This window comes from Homo sapiens, chromosome 11 (genome assembly GCF_000001405.40).
Source record: "Homo sapiens chromosome 11, GRCh38.p14 Primary Assembly".
Lineage (NCBI taxonomy): Eukaryota > Metazoa > Chordata > Mammalia > Primates > Hominidae > Homo > Homo sapiens.
The window spans coordinates 46,114,220-46,139,082 of NC_000011.10; the positions used below are offsets into that span (position 1 = coordinate 46,114,220).

The 24,863-nt window shown below is 43.2% G+C and overlaps 1 protein-coding gene and 1 long non-coding RNA gene across 56 annotated transcripts in view, besides 5 other annotated features; one reads left to right on the forward strand and one right to left on the reverse strand.

The window, feature by feature from the left end:
• PHF21A (PHD finger protein 21A) overlaps positions 1-7,235 on the reverse strand; it is a 192,136-nt gene extending 184,901 nt beyond the window's left edge. For 29 of the 55 annotated variants that reach the window (NR_147890.3, NR_165446.1, XM_047427091.1 and 26 more), the window contains exon 1: positions 6,716-7,235. The gene's annotated coding sequence lies outside the window, so the exon portion shown is untranslated. Of the gene's footprint in view, positions 1-3,702; positions 3,896-4,522; positions 5,611-6,526; positions 6,601-6,715 lie in introns of those variants that run through there. The other 26 variants (XM_047427087.1, XM_047427102.1, XM_047427110.1 and 23 more) reach the window with 6 other exon arrangements.
• Positions 5,294-5,451: a silencer, noted in NCBI's record as "fragment chr11:46141064-46141221 (GRCh37/hg19 assembly coordinates)". NCBI's record gives its function as "represses an EF-1alpha promoter that drives an FKBP-Casp9 reporter gene in an ReSE screen in phorbol 12-myristate 13-acetate-treated (for megakaryocytic differentiation) K562 erythroleukemia cells {active_cell/tissue: K562(+PMA)}" and the evidence as "EXISTENCE:reporter gene assay evidence [ECO:0000049][PMID:32094911]".
• Positions 5,635-5,694: a silencer, noted in NCBI's record as "silent region_3293". NCBI's record gives its function as "represses an Ori minimal core promoter by ATAC-STARR-seq in GM12878 lymphoblastoid cells {active_cell/tissue: GM12878}" and the evidence as "EXISTENCE:reporter gene assay evidence [ECO:0000049][PMID:35858748]".
• Positions 5,765-5,844: a silencer, noted in NCBI's record as "silent region_3294". NCBI's record gives its function as "represses an Ori minimal core promoter by ATAC-STARR-seq in GM12878 lymphoblastoid cells {active_cell/tissue: GM12878}" and the evidence as "EXISTENCE:reporter gene assay evidence [ECO:0000049][PMID:35858748]".
• Positions 7,258-7,317: a silencer, noted in NCBI's record as "silent region_3295". NCBI's record gives its function as "represses an Ori minimal core promoter by ATAC-STARR-seq in GM12878 lymphoblastoid cells {active_cell/tissue: GM12878}" and the evidence as "EXISTENCE:reporter gene assay evidence [ECO:0000049][PMID:35858748]".
• Positions 7,758-8,067: a silencer, noted in NCBI's record as "silent region_3296". NCBI's record gives its function as "represses an Ori minimal core promoter by ATAC-STARR-seq in GM12878 lymphoblastoid cells {active_cell/tissue: GM12878}" and the evidence as "EXISTENCE:reporter gene assay evidence [ECO:0000049][PMID:35858748]".
• On the forward strand, positions 7,926-22,959 carry LOC105376661 (uncharacterized). The gene is made up of 3 exons (XR_931252.4): positions 7,926-12,559; positions 17,394-17,532; positions 20,161-22,959. It is a non-coding gene; the product is annotated as an uncharacterized LOC105376661 (long non-coding RNA).
• The last annotated feature ends 1,904 nt before the right edge of the window (positions 22,960-24,863 follow it).

Genomic DNA, 24,863 nt, shown 5'->3' on the forward strand with positions numbered 1-24,863 from the left:
AAGCTATCAGTAACACGTCCAAACACAAGCTGATAAGTTTGAGCTAGAATTTACATATATACAGTTGCTACACACCCTCCTATTTTCTGCAAGTCTGTGGAAGGAGGCTGGGAAAGAACTAAGTGCAATCTGCATCAGGAGGCCTAACACAGGTGGTGGGTTATTTTCAGGCAACAGCACCTTCACAAACATGTTTTGGAATATAGTCCAAGAAATTCCTAACAAGGAAAGATAAGCTGGCACACAAATTTAACGCAATCCAGCTAAAAATCATCTGCAACACATGCTACTACATTTCACCATAAAAGTGACGGGCTACTATAAAGGATTTGAAGCTTCGTCAATACAACATACTGTCCATAAGGCCAGAGATAGCAGTTGCCATGGTTACTATACCCACTTTTATCAGGAAATTACTGTCATTACCCCAAAGTTTTGGGTACTTATTTAAAATTTAAAAAAAACACACACAATTTAGGGTTCTGACTGTTAATTGAGTGAAATAATCAACTACTGTTTGATTTGTAAGTATGTCGCTTTGGAGATGCACATGGTTAACAATACTTGGATCTGCAGCAGAAAAAAAATCAATTCCTTTCTGCTGCTCCTTCTCCTCAAGTACTGACAGTTTGTATTCTCAATGCAGCCAAAACAATAAAACAAAACCCATCTTTTTGGCTTCTGTGTTTAAGTTATTTTTCCCCTAGGCCCACAAACAGAGTCAAAATAAAGCCTAGATCATCAACCTGTTAGGCCTCATCCCCTTCCTATCCCCTCCATACTGGTTCACTTTCTTGACTACTTAGAAAAGGCAGAAAACATTTCTGTAACTGATTCCAAAGTATAGAAAAGAATAGTTGCCTTCAACTGAGATATTTTCACCAAAGTCTTTTTTATTTACTTTTTTTTTAAGGCAGGGAGAGGGGAGAGACTTGCAGGGTACTGAAAGGGAGAAGTGGAGGAGTATTCAAATTGCCACACAAGTCTAGTGTAAGAAAGTTGCTTTAGAAGAGTCCAAAGGATGGCTGAACCTCACATATAATTTCTAAAAGCTTTGGAAGAGTTCACCATAATTTTAAGACTGAATTGAGGGACAAGTAATAGAAAAGTTATTCATAAAGTCTACTTCAACATTTTTACAAAAGATAACTATTCAAAAATTTAACACACATATAAGAATTATACGAAAGCCTACAAAATAGTATGGCCACATATACACACAAACATACAAAGTAGAAAACATAAGCTATTTAAGAAATAATTATCTACAATAAATTCAATGCAATGTTAACATATTATCTCTTTTTTAAAAAATCGCAAAGCAGCAAAAACATACACCTGAGAAAATTAATGTGATCAAAACGTTAAAGAATTCTTAGGCCTATAAAAAAAGCCCATGTACAAAAGCTCCTGAGAAGTCAACATAAATCATTAATATTTCCCAGCACAAAATAATATGAAAATTCAAACATGTTTCAAGAAATCAGTTCTAGATATAGATATAAAAGAATTCCATTAAAGGTCAGAGACCTAAAACTTTAATTCCTTCCCTTCTCTGTTTGAATAGTAATTAAATACAAAAGCCTTCAGCAATAAAATACTAAGGATACAAAATTTAAAAGCACATTAATATAAGCTTAACTTCAGTATGTCTTCACAGAAAGCTTTACTATTCACTGTCTGTAGGATGAAAAAGTTAATAACACCCTGAGAGGTTTCATTTTTATCTAAACAGTTAAGTGTTTTTCTCACCGTTCACAGAAGCAAGTTTCTATATTTACTTTCTAAAGGGGGCAATTTCAAAAGAATAGTCACTTCTAAAATTTAAGATACTATACCTTTTGATAGGCTCATAAACACAGGGTTCCTAATTATCTATATTTTACTTTAAAATGTTTCTATTCCAAATTTGTGAGCAGAGTTTATAAGAAAGCTGAAACTCAAGGCTTTAAACTTTTGGGTTATTTTTACACAAAAATATTTCAGTGCACTCCTCTAGATTTGAGTAGTCATTTCCTTGTGCATCCTTCTAAAATAGAAAAACAAAAATGATATATCCATATATACCTAATACTAACACATACAGATATACATCTTTTTCACTGTGAAACAAGCTTGAAAGCTTTAGGCAGTAAGAATTTTTCAGAAAGTTAGCAGAGTCAGTCAAAACATTCAAAACTTGAACCATGACATCTGTTACTCTGTCAATAAGAGTCTATAGAAGAATCAGGGAACTTACATACTCACTAAAATCAACTACTATCACATCACATCAATGGAGAAATGAAGAAAAACTGTAATAGGGGACATACAATTCACAGGATCTTCAAAAGGGAAAATGATCTTTTTTTTTTTTTTAAATTATGAGAAACTGACTAGGCAGCATTTTTTCAAAAGCAGCTTCAAAACTATAACAAAGACATTTTTGGTAACCACAGCAGTATTTAAAAAACAAAAATTTAGGCCGGGCGTGGTGGCTCACGCCTATAATCCCAGCACTTTGGGAGGCCAAGGCAGGTGGATCACCTGAGTCAGGAGTTCAAGACCAGCCTGACCAACATGGTGATACCCCGTCTCTACTCAAAATACAAAACTTAGCCGGGCGTAGTGGCGGACACCTCTATAATCACAGCTACTCAGGAGGCTGAGAGGCAGGAGAATCGCTTGAACCTGGGAGGCAGAGGTTGCAGTGAGCCGAGATCACGCCGTTGCACTCCAGCCTGGGAAACAGAGCGAGACTCCGTCTCAAAAAATAAAAAAATAAAAAAACTATAGTGTCCAGGGTGCACTTTAAATGTATTACTTTCTCAACTGATATGGAAAAAGTTAGCATTTAAAGACAGAAGCTTCTGTCCATGTATTAATTAGTTACCTATCTCAACAACTTAATATCTGCATGCTTTCTTACCATTTATGAAGAACTTTTATATGTATTATCTCATTTGGTCTTACTGAGAAAACAGTATTTTGCCTACAAAATAGACAAAATTCAAAGCAGATTTATCAAACTTTCTAGCATCCCCAAATTTTTAAAACTTCGACACAAAACTTTACAAGCAACCACAGTGGCATGATATTTTCAGTGATAATCAATTCACCTAACACTAACAGAGTTTCAAAGGACCATGTGCTATAAATGCTATGAAACTGTTAAAGTAGCTATATTCATCTTTATGCAGTTACTGTTACATCAACAATGACCTACCACTGATACAACTTGACTTACAGTTCAAGAATCTCAGTCTTTGCAGGCTAACTTAAGTACATCAACCATATGTATTTATAAAGCCGAGTGCCTAAAAATTGATCTATATTAGAATCATAGTCTGTAAATCCGAGGGGAAAAAACTACAAGAAGTCTAAAATTTTTTCAACACACTATACCCCTTTCCAAAATCTCAACTACTCTATATCCTATTTGTATTAATATTATAGGGATGATAACAAGGCTTAAAGCCCTAAATCATACCAACTACTTTTGTTTATAACAATTACAAATAATTTTTTAAAATACATGCTCAACATCCCACTCATCAACACAAGACTAATTCCCCTTCCAAATAAAATAATTCTAAACAGTGCTCTGTACCAAGGGCCAGAATCCTTATACTATCCGCAATCGCACATCTACTTTGTACAGTCAAAGACTTCACTTTCAAGTAGCAAACATTATTTATGAATGGAATTTTTAAATGGACTTACTCAAAATCTTTCTGGAACTTTAAGGTGTTAATCCTGTTGCTTAGCTGAAGCTAAGCAGAGCTGTAATAAGTAGCAAGACCCTCAAAATTCAAAAATTTCCTTTATCTTGCTGTAGCACCTCCTGCTGGATAGCATTTAGAGATCTTCATGTAAGCAGAAGAAGAGTATTTCAGAGGCAGCTCCTTCCAGAAGACTGAATAGGAAAAAGGATGGACCCTTCAAAGCTAAAAGAAATAGGCCCCATCCATCACTTATACCTTCTAAAAATACAATTTAGCCCAGGTAGGTGTCTTTTTCATCTATTACTACTCCAGTTCCACAAAGACTTGCCTCAGTCCAAAATACAACATGCTTAAATAAAGCCTGCAAAATTGTCTAAAAACTAAGTTAAAAAGCATTCAATAGCACCCAAGCAAAACACTTTATTATGGGCAGCCAAGCAATGTCAGTCAAACTGTAAATACTATTATGTTACCAAAAGCAAAAGTCTGATGTTAAAAAAAAAAAAAAAAAAGCCCCTGGAATATTCGTAACATGTTAGCCAGATGTTTGTGTTTTGAGAACTTTGTGCACTATTACTATGCTCTTCACTTAAGGATAGTTGTACATCTACAAACGTTTTAAGTACAGAAATTTTTTTATAAACATTAGCATAACTGTACACAAAATTTCCTCTTTGCCATGAAAAGATAGGTCCTGGGATTTGAAAATGTATTTTTCAGACATTTTTAATGACCCCCTAAAATAAACTAGTTTTAAGCCCACAACACCGATTCCATAAACAAGTAAAGACAGAAGAAGAGAATAAGAAGGAACTTACCAAAATTAAAATGAATAATAGTATTTCCAGTAAAAATGTAGTAACAGTTTCCAACAATGCTGTAAACCAAATAAATTGTGAAACTTAAAAAAGGAAGGAGGGGGCCAGTCTTCAAAGACCAAAAGCAAAGCTGACCTATTTATTTCTATTGCTTAGAGTGAACACCAGATGTAAACAAATATCATAAACACTGAAAAGTACGCTTACATGGTTTAGCCTCAATTTCAGTACCCTTACCAGGCCCTCAATAAAGCTACAGATGTTGGTGAGAACTCGCTCAAAAAGGAGATAATTCCAGCCCCTCGCCTTAAAGAATCCCTATCAAGTGAACCTGTGAAAAGACTTCCTTCCCAGAGTGCACAACTGCTTTAAAAAAAAAAAACTTTCATCAGCCCAAATTAATCTGATTCTAATATTCAACTATCCATTATTTATATATAAATGTTCTTCCCTCTCTAACTTTCCCAGCTCGAGCATCTACATTCCTGACACCGACTATTAGCAAAAATGCACAACTCCTTCCCCAGCTATGGGGCAAATCTTTGAAATCTGAAACACAGCCACAAAGTTCACTGTCAAGGCCAGGTGATGAGGCCCACACATGCCCGGACCTTCACTCAGATTTGAAATTCTAGAAATCCAGACTCCCAGAGACATCATTTTAAAAACAACACAATGTGGACGTGCAGAGTGAGATCCTCTACTTCCAGACCTAAACAAAGAATATTTCAACATATGACCGGAATATGATGACACCAGATTCACCAATGAAAACAAAACCTGCCGACCATTAGCAGTCGTACCCTCATCACAACAACTCAACTACTTAGAAATCACTCTCGGCACATCTGCACCCGACAACCGGCCTGTGGCCTTCTCCGGGGGTGCAAGCCACAGACAAAGTTGAAAGAAGGCGTTCTCCTCCGGTGCCCAATCTCGATACCAACCCCTCCCCTACCAGGGCCACCTTGCTGCTACCCACCATCGCGAACGTGGTCAGGGGAAAAAAAAAAAAAAGAAATCCTAACAGCACCGCTCAGCAGAATAAAGAGACCAAAGAGAGGATGACGAGAAGTGTTGGGAACTGCGTGCACGACGGGGCTGGACCAAACGGAAAGAGTCCCACTCCGCGCGCCCCTCCCCCCGGCGGGGGCGCGGGCGGGGGAGGGGCGGCCGCGGCCCCTCTCGGAGCGGCCTGTCCGCCCCGGCCCGCTCGGGGTCCCGGGGGCGCCCCGCGGCCGCCGGCGGCGGGGGCGAATGCGGGAGGGCCGGCCCCGGGGTGAGGGGTGCAGGCAGACTCTCCGGAATAACAAGTTGCAGAAGAAGAAGAATAAGCGGAATTTCCCCAACGCTGCTCCGGCCACCCAAGACAAATGCACCAACACACTCACACTCACACACACACAAACACACACACTGGGGCCCGGCAGCGTCAGCAGCCGCAGCTTTTTTTTTTTTAAACCAGATCCCTCAGTCAACAAACAAGATGGTTTTCCAAAAAAAAATTTTTTTTAATTAAATAAATAATCATAATAAAAACTTCCCCCCGACAGCATCCCGGGGTGGGGTGGGGGGGATGGAGGAGCCCCAGCTACCTCCCCGGCCGAGGGACAGCCGAGGGGGGGCGGGCGAGGCTCCGTGCCCCCCGCCCCCGCCCGCAGCCCCCGGCCGGCCCCCCGCCGGGACAATGTGACGCCCCCTCCCCGCCGCCCCCGGCACGCCGCCTCTGTCACCGGCTCCGGCCCTGCACTCTGCGCCCAGGCTTCCGAGGCTGCTCATAAACTTACTTCCAATTTATCCTGGGGAGGGGTGGAGGGCAGAGGGGAGGGGGGGGAGCCAAGGTTTTCCCATTGTCTTTTTTTTCGGGGGGGAGGTATGGGAAGGGCACGCAGGGGGGCGCCCCGAAGGGGAAGTTATTGCTCAAATCTCAAGTTGACTGAGGGGTCCTGACGAGAACACCCCCCTTTCCCTCCTCCCTCCCACACACCCCTCCCCTCCCCCTACCTCCCCCCACAACAAACTCCAAGCAGGCAGCCCCTGATCCTCCCAGAGACAAACACCAGCGACAAGACAGAGGGAGAGAGGAGAGAGGCAGAGGGGGAAGGGGGAGGGAGGGGAAATAGAGCTACTCCAGAAAAAAAGAGAGAGAGGAGAGTGAGAAGAAGAGAGAATGGAAAAGCTGGGATACTGCACCCTCCTGCTGCTGGCTGGCTGTCCCCCCTGGCAGCTGGAGGCAGGAACTCTGAGCAGGAGAAGCAGGAGGAGGAGGAGGAGGGAACTCTTCTTCATGGGGAGGGAGGGAAGAAGCTGGAGCTGCTGCTGCTGCTTCTGCTGCTGCTCTGGGCCTCTCGCACTTTTTAGATATTAGTGTGTTAAGATGGTAGGTTGTTCCCTTCTCCCTCCTCCTCCTCCTCCTCTCCTCTCCTCTCTCTCTCACTCACTCTCTCTCTCTCTCTCTCTCTGGGCTGTTTCTTTCCTCCTCTTCCCCAGGCAAGGGGGGGTGGGGAGGAGGGGGTTGGGGGGAGGAACTGGATCCTCCTCCTCCTCCAGGAGGGACACACACAGGCCCCGGGCCGGAATCGGGAGGGGGGAATCAGAGCAGCAGGAGAGAAACTGTAGGAGACAAACAAGCCCAACTCTTCATCCTCCTCCTCCTCTCAGCAGCAGCAGCGAGCACCACCAGCCCATTCACCACCCGGCCCCGGGCCGCAGCACCTCCGCCGCCTCAGCCCGGGGATCCCTCCGCCCAGGCCCAGACACACTCGCCCGCGCGGGAGCCCGCCGCGCGGCCCCGCCGGCCCGCCGCCGCCGCCGCCGTGCGCGCCCCCGCCGCTCCCGAGAGCCGGGCGAGAGGGACTGGGGCTGGGAAAGCGGGGACGAGGGCGAGGGGAGAGGAGGCGCCGGGGGAGAGCGGGCCGCGGCGGGGAGGGAGGGGGCCGCCGGGCGGAGTGGTACGGCGGCCGGCCCGGGCCCCCGCGCCTCGGCCCGCGGCTCCCGGGACGCTCGGGTCCCCCCACCGGGGGCGGTGGGGCGTCGGCGGGGGGGGCGACGGGGGCCCGCGGCGGCGCTCGGGCGGGCGGACTACTTGACGTGTCGGTGCGGCGAATTTATTTCACTTTGCCTAAGGAACGGGGTGTGCTGCGGCACCCATTGCCTAGGGAAAAAACCCGGATGTAAAGTGAGTGAAACTAAACTAGAGTGAAGTAGGGCAGCGGCAGCCAAACTCCAGTGCAGCGGCGGCGGCGGCGGCGGTGATGGGGCCGAGCACCGAGCGGCGGCGAAGGCAGCCAAACTCCGGGGCCCGTGCAGCGCCGCAGCTCGGCTCCCGTGCAGCCGCAGCCGAGGCGAGGCCGGAGCCCGCGGCGGCCCCCCCAACTCCGCGGCCCGAGCCCAACTCCCCCCTCCCGCCGGCGGGAGCTGCAAAGGGGCTCCAGAGCGGCCCCAACTCCCTCCAGTGCAACAGCAGTTTGAAGGGGGGGGGGGAAAGCCGTGAGGGGCAGGAGCGAGGAGAAGTGATGGGGAAGCACTGCAATGGGGGAGCGTGGTCCAGGCAACAGGAGAAAGATGCAACCTCAAGTCGAATGCAACATGCAATCCCCGGCCGCCGCTCGCCCGCTCCCTCCCCTCGCCACCCCGCCCCCTTTCCAAATAACTACCCTTGAACCACTTTATTAGCAGTACTTAGTCCAGCACTCGCTCCCGGGAGGGGCGGGGGACGGGGGCCTTCGCTCACCTTTATTTATTGCTGCTTTCTCCCCCCTCTCCATGTTTTTTATTCCTAAGTTCTTTTGTTCTAAGGGGGATGATGGCATTTACTTTTCTGCTTTGTGTAGCAGGGCAATCACTGGGAATCGGCCACGTATAATCCGGCGGTTTGTCATATTTTATTAGTGAAAGTATTTTATGCCTATTCTACCTCCAAGGACTGTAACATGGAGAATTGCAGGGAGGAGAAAAACATCAGAAGAATTCTTGTTTTGAGAGATTTCTTGGCGGGGCGGGGGAGGGCCTTTTTTTTTTTTTTTGGAGGGGGTTTATTTAGATTTTCGAATCGATAGTTTTCAACTTGAAGCTTAACGTTTTTGTATGGATGTATTACCGGATTCTAAACCCCCAACCACAATAAATTTTTTAAAAGTAAAAAATCTTAGATTAAAAAAAACCCCTACTGGACAGTGATATTATCTGATCTGTGCAGCACTCTGGACTTAACATAGTGTTGGCCTTCGAATGTTAAATAACAATAAACCCCAACCTCAACTGAATACAAATGGGGGGGTGGGGGGTTTTGTTTTTAAAGCTCAGCACTTTTGTAGCAACTGCCACTACGCATTTTCCAGGCATTGATTAGCCATGCAACTCCCATAGGCATGAAATCCAGTTTTTGCAGATAAAGAGCAACAGTGGTGAGATGATTTGCCCAAAGTCAAAGTGAGTCATTCGCAGAACCAGAAATAGCCTTGGACTTTACTAGTCACATCTTTTCCATTAAATAATATTTCTATTACCTTGTTATGTATTTTCACAAGAGGTGCTTTGAGATCATTGGATATGAAGGTATTTTTTTACTTTCGTGACCTGCAAAATTAAGTTTAGTTTCTCAAGAAAAAGCAATTTTTAAAAATTCTGATTTCTTAAAAAATAAAATATGGACTTTATGGTACATGTGTAGGCCATTTAGTAGTCTGAGCTTTATGTTAAAAAAAATTCACAGCAGCGAAAGTGTAAGAGTTTGAGAGTGAAAATGAAAATTCCTATAAATGATTCAAGAAGCCTAGATGAACTCATAATGTTGTGAAACTAAACCCATAACGCAGTCAAGATGAATAACGGGAGGACAGGTTGGGTAGTAAGACCCAGCTTTACCATCTAGAGCTAACTGTAATGTATTTAAAATGAGGGAGGGGGTCTTTCAAGCTGGACCCACTGGCCAGTCACTGGAACTATAACCTAATGGTGTGATTTCAAATCATCCCAGGCTATCAACCTTTTTTCATAGGAAGACTGCTTTGGTGTTCTTTCTGGAAAAAGAAGGTAAAATTTTTTTTGGAATTTCATAGAAAAAAATCCAGAACCTCTAATTGTATCATGCTATAGAACTGGGGTTAGCAAACTTTTTCTGTAAAAGCCCAGATAGTAAATATCGTAGATTTTGCATCCCATACAGTCCCTGTCACAACTTCTCCACTCTATGCTGTTATAACCCAAAAGCATCTATACGACAACATGTAAATGAATGAATCTGGCTATGTTCTAATACAATTTGTATTTATAGGCCTTGACATTTGGATTTAATGTACTTTTCACATGTCTTGAAATATTCTTTTGATTTTTTTCAGTCATTAAGAAAAATTTTTTAAAAAGCACCACATTCCCAGTTTGGGGACTTCACAAAACCAGGCAGTGAGCTGGATGGGGCCCACGGGCTGTCATTTACCAATCCTTGCTATAAAAAAAGACTTAAGGTGGACTAACCACTGAACTTGTACCAAAGGGTGCTTGGTTATTAAGATGTGTGGTAGCAACCAAAAATCAATGTTATGCAAAGTCATTGTCTAGATATTTAATTAAAATATTTTTAGCTGAATATAAGAGTGTCTAACACTCCTGTAACTACCAAACTTAATGGAAAAAAAATACTCTGGAAGTATTGCTCCTTCAACTAAGGCACTTTGGGGCAGGCTGCTTAATCTCTGTTAACAGCCTCAGTTTTCCTATCTTGTAAATTGCAGCTTAGAATACCTACTTCCAGCCCCGGGCAAGGTGTTGCATGCCTGTAATCCCAGCACTTCGGGAGACCGAGGCTGGCGGATCCCTTGAGCTCAGGTGTTCAAGACCAGCCTGGTCAACATGGTGAAACCCTATCTCTACAAAATGTGCAAAAATTAGCTGGGCATGGTGCCACGCACCTGTAGTCCCTGCTACTCTGGAGACTGATGTGGGAGGATCACTTGAGCCCAAGGGGTTGAGGCTGCAGTAAGCTGAGATTGCTCCACTGCACTCCAGCTGGGTGACAGAGTGAGGCCCTGTCTCAAAAACAACAACAAAAACCCTACTAAGTAGGGCTCTCGAGAAGACTGAATAAAATAATTCATGTAACGTGCTTAGCACAGTCCTGGCACATAGAACTGTATAATGCATTTTCACTGTGCCCTTAAATTCATTTTCTTAGTTAACATAACTCAAGAAGGTGAACAGGTGGCATCCCAGTATTTTGATGGTGCAGATGTGCATGTGGGATTCAGGGACTCTCGTGTTGATTGAAGATTGTGAGGTTGGCATTATAAGCTTTGGTGGGTCTTTCTCAAGCTCTCAGCATCTCTGTGTGCTTGACACAGGCACTCTGTGGGCACACACTAGCTCTGTGGCCTTATACAAAATACCTAGGCTTTCTGAACCCTGGTGTTCCTTAAACATAAAGATAATACCTTGTGAGATTGTTGTAAGGGCTAAATGGCTTAAGTGTTAAAGGAAAAAAGATAACAATTAGTATGTTAGCAGAAATTCCAGAAATAAGCTAGAAATTGAAAGTTTACTGTCAAAAGCTGCTTTGAGACATTCAACTTTTAGACATGAATGACATAATCATAGCAGGTGCACAATAACTTAAAATTTGCTCTCCTGCCACCTAGTTACCCTTCCAACCCATTTAATTGCCATCAAAACCCTGTTGAACAGTCCAGGCGCAGTGGCTCAGGCCTATAATCCTAGTACTTTGGGAGACAGAGGCAGGAAGATCACCTGAGGTCAGGAATTCAACACCAGTCTGGGCAACATAGCAAGACCCCATCCAAGCTACTAGTGGGGAGCTGAGGTGGGAGGATCACTTGAACCAAAGTGTTAAAGGCTACTGCAGTGAGCCACAATTGGACCACTGCACTCCAGCCTGGACAACAGAACGAGACCCTGCCTCAAAACGAAAAAACAAAAACTGCTGAACAAAGGTTAAAACCCAAATCTTGAATGTTATTAAATATCAAATGTGCAGTTTTAAATTTTTGTAAAAGTACTCAAATTAGTATTTTCTTACATATTCCTGCCTCCTGTTCTATGCTTCAAGAAGTTATCCAAACTCCAAGATTAGAAAACTACTTACAATTTTCTTCTTGTATTTTTATGGTTTCTATTTTTTCCATTTACTTTGCTACATTTATCTTTAAAATTTTTTTTGGTGCGAGATATGAGGTAGGAATCTAAATAACTTTTGTTCAATAAAAAGTATTTAATTAGGCCGGGCGCGGTGGCTCACGCCTGTAATCCTAGCACTTGGAGGCTGAGGCGGGCAAATTGCCTGAGCTTGGGAGTTCAAGACCAGCCTGGGCAACATGGTGAAACCCCATCTCTACTAAAATACAAAAAATTAGTCGGGTGTAGCAGCAGGCACCTGTGGTCCCAACTACTCGGGAGGCTGAGGCAAGAAAATCGCTGGAACCCAGGAGGCAGAAGTTGCAGTGAGCTGAGATTGCGCCACTGCACTACAGCCTGGGCAACAGAGCGAGACTCCATCTCCAAAAAAAAAAAAAAAAAGGATTTAATTAATATTAATATTGGGGTTCTATGGGACAATGTAAAATGCCACTCAAAATAGTAAAATAGCTTCCTTCCTATTTGCACTATTAGTCTAATGCAGATACACTGTAAATATAGAAAAAAGGTAATAGGCATTACATATTATATTATTATAGAGTCCTTATATACTATAATAGAGAATGAATTTTTCTTATTTTACAGTTTTATACTAGCACAGCACATAACCACACCCATGGATATTAAGGTATTTTTGTACATGTATATGATTTTCTCTGATGTTCTGGAACTTGACAGTATTTCAAATAAAGCAATGAAACCCCCCCTGGAAAGGACTGATTGATGGCTTTCTCATCCAACCCGGCCACCCTTCCCACTTCACTCAACCACTGTCCTGTTTTCTGCTCCAGGCTGAAAAGTAACCTCATTATCTCTTAAAAGGTCAGCCCAAAGAAGATTTGAACTCTGTCTGAAAACCTGGGAGTTCTATTTCTTCACTGAGGCAGGAAGGTAAATATTAGAATTCATCAAGTCTTCTTTTTCTAATTCTTATTGGGCTGGAATAAATGAAAACCTGGCTTGTACCAACAAAGTGCTTAAGTAAGTAGAGAAGACATATCAATGTGATTTTTAAAGAATTATGACAGAAAATCCCCAGTGACTAGCAGAAGTTGAATGTACTTTCTTTCTCCCCACTGTCTCGATGGTTTCTGATCTTTTTGAAAAATCTTCACTGTAACTGTCTTGTGTGTGCATTTGTGGTAAGCCAAAATCATAATTGGAAATGGGTCAGATATAACTTGTAAATGTATATTGGTAGATAAACAGTCCACTCTAGAGAATACCTTCAATTTCATTACTTTGCCATAATCTCCAAGGTCAATTCAATCCTAAGTAATTTCAGTTGTGTGTGTGTTTAACAGCATTCACTAGACCAAGGCTCCTCAACCTCAGCACTATTGACATTTTGGGCCACGTAATTTTTTTGTTGTAGGGGGCATTGTAGGACTTTTAGCAGCATCCTTGGCCTCTAGAGGCCAGTAGCAGCTCCCCAACAGTTGTGACAACCAAAAGTATCTCCAGGCATTGCCAAATATCCGGTGTGTACAGGGTGAGGGTGGAGTCCAGTGGGAGGAGTGTAAAACTGCACTGGGGTTGGGTTCGTTGGGAGGGGATGGTTGAGAACCACAGAACTAGACTAAACGCCATGGAGAGATTCACGTGTGCATTTGTATGTGTGTGACTCTACCCTCCAAGAAGCAGATCCTGACTCCTTTTCCAGAAGTAACTGATGCAGATTGGGGGCCTGGGCTGGACCTGTTTGTTAGGAACTAAAATGGCTGCAATTAGAGCTATAGAAATGTCTGCCTTAAAGCTGCTGAACTGCTAAATGTATCACAGGGATATTCTTCCAAGACCAGGGATTTGAAAGAATTTTATCATCTTGTTATTTCCACCTTCAATGTCTAGTCTTTGATATCTATTATCAACATAAATAAATTACACTGTGGGCCTGAGCAATGGTGTTATCTAGTGTAAGGTGTTACCAGATTTGGAGGCTGAGAAACTGCGAGTGAGTCTGGGTTCTGCAAATATCCAACTAAACACTTTATCTTTCTGGACCTATTTCCTCCCCCAAAATGGGGAAAATAATAATACTTAATCGACTGGATTGTTTTGTTTTTGTTTTTTTGACACGGAGTTTCGCTCTTGTTGCCCAGGTTGGAGTACAATGGCGCAATCTCGGCTCACTGCAACCTCTTCCACCCAGGCTCAAGCGATTCTCCTGCCTCAGACTCCCTAGTAGCTGAGATTACAGCCGCCCGCCACCATGCCTGGCTAATTTTTTGTGTTTTTAGTAGAGACAGGGTTTCACCATGTTGGCCAGGCTGGTCTGGAACTCCTGACCTTAGGTGATCCGCCCACCTCGGCCTCCCAAAGTGCTGGGATTACAGGTGTGAGCCACTGCACTCGGCCTCACTGGATTGTTTGGAGGGTCCAAGCAGTTAACGGGAAGTTAGCAGGGCTTATTCTTGAGGAATTAGTAAAACTGGAATCAAACAGTCCCGGGTTGACCTTGGACAAATGATGCGCTATTGTAAGCGGCAGTTTCCTTATGTGCAAAATGCAGAAATAATCATATTACTTTATAGAGTTGTTATGGAGGTTAAATGAGATAATGTGTGTCATACGTGCTTGATAAATATTACTTTGGTTCCTTGGTAATTTGTATCACATTGCACAATTACGTATTTTATTTTTATTGTTTCTTTTCTGTGAGCATTGAAACCTGGAAACCTGAAAAACTAATTAGTATACCCATATGAGTGAAACCCTGTTTGAAATATATTACATCCCAAATTCCAACCAAGTGAAAGCAGCTTTAAACTGTAGTATATAAAACCTTCTGTCTTCCAAGTGAAATCAGTTAGGGCACACGTTTCTTACAATAACATAAGGTTCTCCCCTCATTGAAATAATGTTCTAATAAGTTTTTTACAACCTCTGTATTACATAAAGCACATGGGGTCAGACGTAGCATGCCCAGCTAGCAGTTTGTCCAGTCATAAACATTTAAATATGACTAGGTGTTATCCCAAAATTCACCTTTCCGCAAAGCACTGGCAAATTGCATTGCAGTCCTAAAACTGAGTGCAGGTGGTGAGATACTCAGGGATCTGACAGTATCTTTTACATAAACTCTTTAATTGAAGTATAACATTCATAAAGAGAAGTGAACAAATCACAAGTACATTTTCGTAAATTTTCACAAAGTTAACACACCTATACAGAGGTGTTCTCGAAGGTTAGAGAATTCTGTAATAAACGTGTTTTATCATTGGGGCGCGGGGATAGAAAGGGGCATCACGAATCTGAAAGAACACAGTGGAGATTTCCCAGACAAGATAGTAATTGCCTTTGATATGCAAATGTGATTTTGAATTATCAAATGGAGATATTGCAAAATGATAAATTGGAATCAGATTGCCAATGCAAAAGTTATATCACCATTTGCCACTTGATGTATGATCTTGGACAATTTACTTCAAGTGCCTCAGTCTTCTCATTTGTTAAATGGGGAGAATAATAGGACTGTTGTTTGGATTAAGCAAAATAACATGTGTAAAGGTTTGGGTGAGTCTGGCACGTAAGCTCTCAATAGAAGTAAATCATTTTCCATATAGTATGATGCCCCAAGGGATGAGAGAAAAGAAGTTATGGACATCTCAAGAATTATTTTAGGGGAAAAAAAAAAAGGAAATTTTGCACAGCAAGGGAGCTGCATCAGAATAGCTAAGGGATGCTGCCACAGAGCCCCAGGACTCACACCAGCAAGGAGGGTATGTCTGTGGGAAAGCCTACAGAATGAGAGAAAGCAGGGTATCTGGGGGCAGCAGGCAGGGTGATGAACCAAAAAGCTGTGAAGATAGCTCGGTTCTGAACAGAAAGCCACAGGAGTATGCCTAGCATCCAAACAGGACATGACCTGATTTTTTTTTTTAGAGACCAGAGTAAGGTCTAAGAGTGATTGCTTGTTTGATGTGGGTCTATAGAGAGGAACGAGAGAAACTGCAGCCACAGGAATCATAATCCCAGAGGCCAGAGTCTTGAAAGGCCTGTGCACTAAAGGAGGAGGACTCGTTTAGGGCTTTATCCAAGGCCAAGTGACTGGAGCACCTTATAGCTTATGAATGACCTCAAATGTGTATCTTTAGGCCCGGCATTCCCTCACACTGCGATAAGATGTAAGTGCGCATTTGAGTCAACCTGAATACTGAATGAGAGAAAGAGATACTACAGTACCGAAGGGGAAAAGAATGGGGCAGACTGGGTCTCGGAACCGAGACCTGACAGAGGAGTCTCCCCCTTTGGATGATGGCAACAGGGAGTTCCCCCAAATCCAGCCAGTAACCTGATTTGTTACAGCTGGACCTTTGGGTCTCTCATTTCTTTTTGACTGTCTCAATCCTGTAAATGGCTTCTCATCTTTGAAAGGAGGCGATTTAGTTTCTCATTCCTTGATTGGTTGCAGGAGATCTATCAGCATACACAATCCAGGAGGACAATTATGGTGAAAAAATGTGACCCAGTGTTCTTACTTTCATGAAACTTCTCTTGCTGATGGGTAAAGGATAGGAACTAAGCAAACCGGGGATGGCTAATCTGTGGGTTTCCCAGGGCCTAAACTTGACCTCAGAATCCTTCTCAACACAGTGCATCAGGCAGTCATTAGCAACTGTTTGGAGCTTGCCCAAGATACAAATCTATTTTGGCATACCTGGACTCAGCCCTGATGTCTTGCTATAATTAATGCACCTTTCCTATCCACTTCTCCCAAGCCCAATGTAAAGGGTGTCAGACAGGAAATTATGCCCAGCTTCAGCCCTGCATATTTAAATTAAGCCCTGGATAGGTAACAATTGCCTATTTAGGGAACTGTTCTCATATTTCTGAGTTTATAACTGATTTATGACCTATAAATAGTCACATCAACCTCACTGCTGAATAATTTACATACTGAGGTCGTGCTCTTTGAATGAACCTGACACCCATTTGTGTTAAGCCAACCAGCTGTGAGCATTCAAGCTAGAACACATGGAGAACCGCACCCCAAAGCAGTGGGAATGGAGAAGCAGAGGGCTTAGATTTTATTCTCTCATTTTAAGTCCAGCCAATTACTTTCTTTTTAGCCCCATTTTCTTTCTCTCTAAAATAGGATTTTATTTCCTCGTAAGCGGCAATGTTAGGAGAACAATTTAAATAACAAATGGGCCGGGCGCGGTGGGTCATGCCTGTAATCCCAACACTTTGAAAGGCCGAGGTGGGCAGATCAATTGAGACTAGGAGTTCGAGACCAACCTGGCCAACATGGCGAAACCCCATCTCTACTAAAAATACAAAATATTAGCTGGGCATGGTGGCATGTGCCTGTAATCCCAGCTACACGGGAGGCTGAGGCAGGAGAATCACTTGAACCCAGGAGTCGGACATTGCAGTGAGCTGAGATTGCACCACTGTACTCCAGCCTGGGCGGCAGAGAGCGACTCTGTCTCAAAAAAATAAAAAAATAAAAAAAAATTTTTAATGTCTTCCAGGTTCTCAGAATTCAAAACCTTAAGACAAAAAGCATCATTTCTGTAGCTGTATCCTTCTTTGATGAAAGCCTTATTATCCTAGCGCTAAACAGAGGTTGATAATTTGTGTTTTACACTTCATTATGCAAAAAAAACCCCACATTTCTTCAGCACTATAATGTTGATGAGATGGGAGGGGTACAGTCCACATTGTTCCAGCCTGTAAAATGGACATGCCATACCATTCATTTCCCTCTCCTTGCTTACAGAGAACTGATGAGATAGAAGTTGCAGATGACCAAGTTTACTGAAAATGGGTGCTGTGAGTGAAAGAAAGAGGAATGGATTAAATTTAAAATGACACTACTTCAGCCATCTCAGCATCTGGGTTGGTGGACAAAACTAGAGGTAATAGTAGGTTGGGGGCTTGGGTCTAAGAATTGCATTGGTGGATATGGAGATGACACAGAGAAGAAGGGACCTGAAACATTATGTTCTAACCTAGTGAGAGTCAGAATTTAAAAACAAGAAGCATATTCCAATAGCCACTTGGGGAGTTTTGACTCCCTGAAGGTACAGGTATTATGAGTTTCAGAGCCACAAACACTTTATTTTAATACTAGTTCCTCAATTAGCATAAGTATAAACATTATTTTTCCAAGTACATTGAGTTGTCACTGTTCATCTAATAGAAAAGAAAAACTCATTCCAATTCCAATCTGGGTGAATATTATATTTCCTTTGATAAACGTCAGTGGGTTGATGGGAACGGATTCATTTCAAGTGGAAACGCTCAGACCTAAGTTTTGTGACTAACTGTGCCTAAAGACAGCTCATTTCATACTGGAGTGTCCTTGCCTCAGCAGCTTAGGCAAAACCAAAAAGATCACAGAGCAAAACCAACGGAGAGTATGACAACATTAACACAGAAATTTTATGTTCACATGTTATTGGAACCTAATTCAATTTACAAAAATGTTGTTTTAAAGAAACGTGTTTTGTCCTGAGTAATTATGAATAACCAGAAAAATCAAACAAATAAAATATGACAGTAGCCAATACAAGTGGGCCCTGTTTCCAGTTTTTAAAAATGAACTCTTGAAATGAAGGTGGGCTGGACATGGTGGCTCATGCCTGTAATCCCAGCACTTTGGGAGGCCGAGGCGGGTGGATCACCTGCAATCGGGAGTTCGAGACCAGCCTGACCAACATGAGAAACCCCGTCTCTACTAAAAAATACAAAATTAGCCAGGCGTAGTGGCGCATGCCTGTAGTCCCAGCTACTCGGGAAGCTGAGGCAGGAGAATCGCTTGAACCTGGGAGGCAGAGGTTGCGGTGAGCCGAGATTGTGCCATTGCACTCCAGCCTGGGCAATAAGAGCGAAACTCTGTCTCAAAAAAAAAAAAAAAGAAAGAAAACAAATGAAGGTGTGTTCAGATCTAATATTTTCCATTAAAGTTTTTATTTTTTATTTTACCAAACGTATAATTTCAGGGAAATTGGATCTTCATTGCTGATTGGATTTCATGGAAATAGCTCCCAAAGCTATAAATTTAAGTTTCTCTGTTTTCTCAGGTGCATTTAGCTTTTTGACACATCAGGGTGTCTTAAATTTCTGTGCTCCGGGAATCCAGGTCCCAGTTCTGCTATTAGCTACTTGTGCACTTGAAAAAGTCACTGACTTAACAGGCTTCCGTTTTTTCATCTTAAAATATCTGTATCTTATCACACCAGGATAGTTGATTTGAAGTAGGAATCCCTAACATTTTCCTAATAAGTATTTTTTTTCTCATGACGGCTTATTGTTAATTATTAATGGTAAAAATAACAACTGCCATTTACTAAGCATTCTGGGCCAGATGTTTTGTACATATTTAAAATTTTATAGATAAGAAAACTGAGGCACCGAGGGGTTAAGTAAATTGCCTAAGGTCACATAAATAGTACATGGCAAAACTGGGATGCCTGCCCACAGCTACTTAGATTCAGCTTCTGCTTTCTAATGGGAATTCCCATGAGCCACAAGGAAGGAAGTGTGGGGTAGCACTACGTTGAGATGAACCAGGCAAGGCCTTGAGGAGAATGGATGGATCCTGAGACAAAGGTCTCCAAAGAAGAGCAACTCATTTTCTCTTTGGCAAAAAAAGAAGTCAGTCTTCATCCTATATAACAAGATGTGTGGTATGATGGAAAATGTGAGTTTTGGAGTTGGAAAGGCCTGGGTTAGAATCTTCACTAAGTTTGATCAGGCTCGGTGGCTCATGTCTATAATCCCAGCACTTTGGGAGGCCGAGGCGGGCAGATCACTTAAGGTCAGGAGTTTGAGACCAGCCTGGCCAACATGGTGAAACCCCACTCTACTAAAAATACAAAAAAAGTAGCTGGGCATGGTCGTGGATGCCTGTAATCCCAGCTACTTGGGAGGCTGAGGCGGGAGAATTGCTTGAACATGGGAGGTGGAGGTTGCAGTGAGCCAAGATCATGCCAGTGCACTCCAGCCTGGGCAACAGAGCGAGACTCCATCTCAAAAAATAAAAATAAAAAAAAAGAATCTTCACTAAGTTACTACTTAGTTGAGGGGCCTTGGACAGGTGACTTATCCACTCTTAGCCTCATATGTCTTATCTAGGAAATAGGATGGGATAGGATGTGAAATGAGAATAGGATAATAATATTGGCAGAGCTATTTTGGTGGGTAGAAATAATTCGTGCAAAGTGTCTTGAAGGCACATGAAGGCATACAGTACATGGCAGGCAAAATATCAAATCCTTCTGTAAGTGCTTTCCTAAAGTATGTTGTTAATAGGCATTAGGTAATAAAAAGAGAAAGGATGAAAGAAGTTTTAAGGGCGGGGATAGTTTGGCAGTCAAGTAAATCTGGGAGATACTGCTAAGCAAAGTTAAACTCCTTTACTGCAGGGCTTCTCAGAGCCTTTAAATTGCAAAGATGCAATAGGAATCTCCAAGAGGAAGCTTTTTCTCAATTTATTTTGAGTCTCAATTTATTTTGACCCATTTTAATGGTGTCTCTTACAGGACTGGCGTTTCTGGGGGCACGTGTCAGGAAGCACTGATCTGGTGACTTTTGGAGGAAAAAGCTGGCTTATTCGGGTCCAGTCATCATGGTCCATTTACTGTTTTGTAGTACCTCCAGAATTGTCTCTCTTTTCTATCTATTTCTCCCAAAAATAGGATTTCTCCTCTTTACAAATGTCACAGAAGGAAGCTCTAAAGAGTGATTTCCAGCATCCATACAAGTGAAAAGTTCAGCTCCCAAGAGGAGCAGACAACGTCCGCAAAGCAAACCAAGCAAGACCCATGGGGCCAAGGCATTAAGTGGTTTCTCAGGGTGGTGGAATGTGGCTGCTTCCCTGCTTCTCCCAGAGAAGCTTTAAATGTGTAGGTAACTTCCCAGACCACCAGAAGGCACCAACATGGGAAAAACAGATCCAGTCACTGGCCCAGAGAGTCAGAAATCAGCCCATCCAGGTGACCCCGCTTAGGCTCCTGTTCATGCACTTGTCAAAGGCCAGCCCAGCCCAAGGAGGGGGAAAGAATTAGACAGAGGATCAGCTTTTTATTTTCATGTACAAAGCACTTGCCCTCGGGTTATAAATGTTATTGCATTTGTGTAGCACTTTACTGCTGCCCTCAGCTTGCAAGCATCACAGGATCCCAGTGGCAGTACTTTCTTAACCCTTGATCAATAGCTTATTTCTATCGCCTTCAGTCCCAGCTGCCAATCCGTTCTGTAAAATGTGGGAGGCAGACTTCGCTGCTCTCCAGCTGTACATGTTATGAATGTAAACGGTGCAAGTAACATATGTATTATACGTATGTGTGTGTGTGTACTGAGTGGGGGACATGAGATTTTTGAACAAGGAGTAACAAAAATGGGACCCTTGTTCTGGGAGACTCCCATACAGCTGGGAGTTTTCTTTCTAGTTTCTCCTTTTCTCTCTTTCTCTCTCTCTGAAACGATGTGCTTGGTATTCTGTCATGTGGCAGGAGAAATTCTCTCTTAAGTTTCTGTGTTTTTATTTGATATATATTTGGGGGAAGGGGTGAAAAGTGGACAGAAAGATCTAAGTTCCAAGAAAGAAAGGGTCATGTCCATCTTATTTATCACCCCTGTAGTCCCAGCACCTACACTGAGCCTAGCACAGAACAGGTGCTCAGGAAGTATTTGTTGACTAAATGAATGAATTCAGGAATGGGAGGATAAGAGGGCCCCAGAGCAATCCTCTGGAGCTGCCTGAGCAAAGAGGCAAAGGCCTTGTCTTGCTGGCAGCAAGGGGGACCACAAAAGGTTTAATGGGCATCTACTTTATTTATTTTATTTTTATTTTTTGAGATGGAGTCTTGCTCTGTCTCCAGGCTGGAGTGCAGTGGCGTGATTTCGGCTCACTGCAACCTCCACCTCCTGGTTTCAAGCGATTCTCCTGCCTCAGCCTCCTTAGTAGCTGAGATTACAAGCACGCACCACCACGCCCAGCTAATTTTTGTACTTTTAGTAGAGACGGGGTTTCACCACGTTGGCCAGGCTGGTCTCAATCTCCCCACCTCGTGATCCGACCACCTCGGCCTCCCAAAGTGCTGGGATTACAGGAGTGAGCCACTGCTCCCGGCCAGCATTCTACTTTATTTAAGGCTCACTCTAGGCACCTTGGGAACCACAGAGAAATGAGATCATAAGCATAACCAGCTACTACTGTTCCAGTTTACCAGGGAGCAGAGTCAGCCAAGAAACCACTTGGGGACAAATTCCTCATCTCACCTTCTTTCCCTCACCTCTGAAGCTAGTTTTAAGACAAACGCACCCTAGGAGACACTTTGAAGGATGAAGGAGGATCCCAAAGCTCCGTGACATCCTCCAGCTCCAGGAAGATGACTCCATCTCGCGGTAAGGCAGCCGGGACTGCCCTTGTCTGAACCTATGTCCTTGAGGCTCAGCCAAACCTCTCCTTCTGTGGCAGAGGGATGTTTAGGTGACATTCTTCTCCCTGCCACTCAGCATCTTTTAAACAATCTTCCTCCACCTTGGGAGAATATGCATGAACTCACTGCAGTCTGGGACCACGGAAGCTGAAAATTGTCTTTCTCCCTGGGAGGGGAATTGGTCACAAAGGGAAAAACCGACCTCCCCTGAAAAATAAGAATCTGGGGCCAGGCGCGGTGGCTCACACCTGTAATCCCAGCACTTTGGGAGGCCGAGGCGGGCGGATCACCTGAGGTCAGGAGTTCAGGACTAGCTTAGCCAACATGGTGAAACCCCATCTCTACTAAAAATACAAACTTAGCCAGGCATGGTGGCACATGCCTGTAATCCCAGCTACTCAGGAGGCTGAGGCAGGAGAATCGCTTGAACTCAGGAGGCAGAGGTTTCAGTGAGCCGAAATCGCACCACTGCATTCCAGCCTGGGCAACAGAACAAGACTTCGTCTCCATAAAAAAAGAATCTGGGATGACTGCAGGTTCTTTCAGGCAAAGTTCTTTTGCTTGCCATGGTAGAAATCCACGTCAAGTGGAATTAGTGAAGGAGGGACCTCGTTGGAAGTATATCAGGTACGTTGCAGGGCAGGGGCAGTTGGCTCAGAAGGACCGGGTACCAAACCCTGGAAGATGGACTCCCCAGGAATCCTCAGAAGCAGCAACACCCCACGTTTGGCTGCTGTCAGCTGCACTTAAGTTTCCTCAGCCTGCTCGCCCCAGCCTCGGGGGCCTGTGGTGGGAGGGGAGGAGGTTGGCACAGCCCCTTGGCTCTGCAGCACACTGCCTGTAGTGCACCATGAATTAATATTTTTAATAAATCCTGTAATTATCTTGTGAACAGAACATTTTTGTGGCACTGTGTTTTTCGGTGTTAAAAGCATTAATTTATTCAATATAAACATTAAAACTATACCGTCGTTTTTGTAACCTTGTTTCTTTATTTCTTCATGGAAAGTGGGCTCTAAGGCCCCAACTAAGAGGTGCGCTTGGCTTTGTGTAGCCACCCCAAGTGGCCAGCCAGACTGCGGCCAGCTTTCAGACCCGGGTTGGAATGTCTAGGAGTGACACTCTGACTTGCTCAGCTTAGGAGGAGGTTCACCCAGCACAGCTAACTGTTAGACCGCAAGCTCCCTTTTCCACGCAAGGGAAAAGGAGTCATTATGAGCTCGGCAGACACCCACAATGTGTCTACAAGATTATCCTCTTTCTGGACTCACCCTGTACAGAATCTCAAATACACAGGTCTCCAACAAGCTGAGCAGAGGACTCCCAGGACTATGGAATCTCAGGGGAGCTCACCTTGCAGCTAAACTTTCCTAAGTGTGTACGACCCTGCTTCCTCCCAATTCTTGTCTCTCTAGTACATCGCTGTTTTCTCTTGATCCTGAAATTTTTTTATTTGTAATGTTCTGTTTTATCATATGTTTTGCGTTCCCTCAAGTCCTTTGTGGCAGGACAAAAGACCGAAAAGTTGAATAAATATCGGGTTTGTACTTAATGTCATCAAATCAACACACATGTTGTAGGCGTCTCAGGAGCCTAGCCAACCTCCAAAAGGGCTTGGTCCAAGTTAGACTTAATTTGTCCTTCCTCCTTCCCTCCCTCCCTTCCTTCTTCTCTCCCTCTTTCCCTCCCTCCCTCCCTCCTTTCTTCCCTCCTCCCCTCCCTCGATTTCTCTTTGCTTCCTTTTTTTTGTTTTCTATGAGTAACTTTTTTTGTGGAAGCAATACAAATATCTTTAAAAACCTTTTTTAAACACTGAAGTATGACCAATAAAATAAAAACGATTCAAATTCCCACCACATCCCCCCTAAGAGGTAATTACTATTAATATTTTGGTCTACAACTTTCTAGATAATTTTCAAGAAAATTAGCCTCACAGTGAAAATAACTGTATCACTAACTTATATCCTATTTTTTAACTTGGCAGTACGTTATGTTTCTTTGCACATCATTGCATTTTCTTCTGGAAACATTTTATTTTCTAAACCGGAATCAAATTTGTTTTTCTGATATATAAAATATTTAACCAATACAGAGAAATAAAGAGTCCCTCATAATCCCACTTCCTAAAAATAGTCACTATTAATTTTTAAAATCCTTCAAGTTTTTATGTATGTGTAAACATGCATTTCTATAGACAGACTCCTAACACATTGTTGGATAGTGTTTGGTAAACTGCTTTTTCCTTCTTAACACTAGATCATGAGTATCTTCCCACATCAATACATAGAATGCATCATCGGGCCGGGCGCGGTGGCTCATGCCTGTAATCCCAGCACTTTGAGAGGCCGAGGTGGGCGGATCACCTGAGGTCAGGAGTTTGAGACCAACCTGGCCAACATGGTGAAACCCTGTCTCTACTAAAAATACAAAAATTAGCTGGGCATGGTGGCATGCACCTGTAATCGTAGCTACCCAGGAGGGCGAGGCAGGAGAATCACTGGAACCCAGGAGGCAGAGGCTGCAGTGAGCCGAAAAGAATGCATCATCCTTCTTGATGGCTACATTGAATTCTATTACATTGAATAAATGGACCATAATTTCTTTAACCAATCACCTCTTGTTGGAAACATATTCTAATTTTTCAATTTTTCACTATTATAAGGAATTATTATTTTTTCAATTTTTCACTATTATGAGGAGTACTGTACTAAGCATCATCGTGTATGCTTCTTGGTCATGTATCTGATTACTCCTTTAGAAATAAATTCCTAGAAGGAAGATTGCTGAGAAAAAAAGGATAC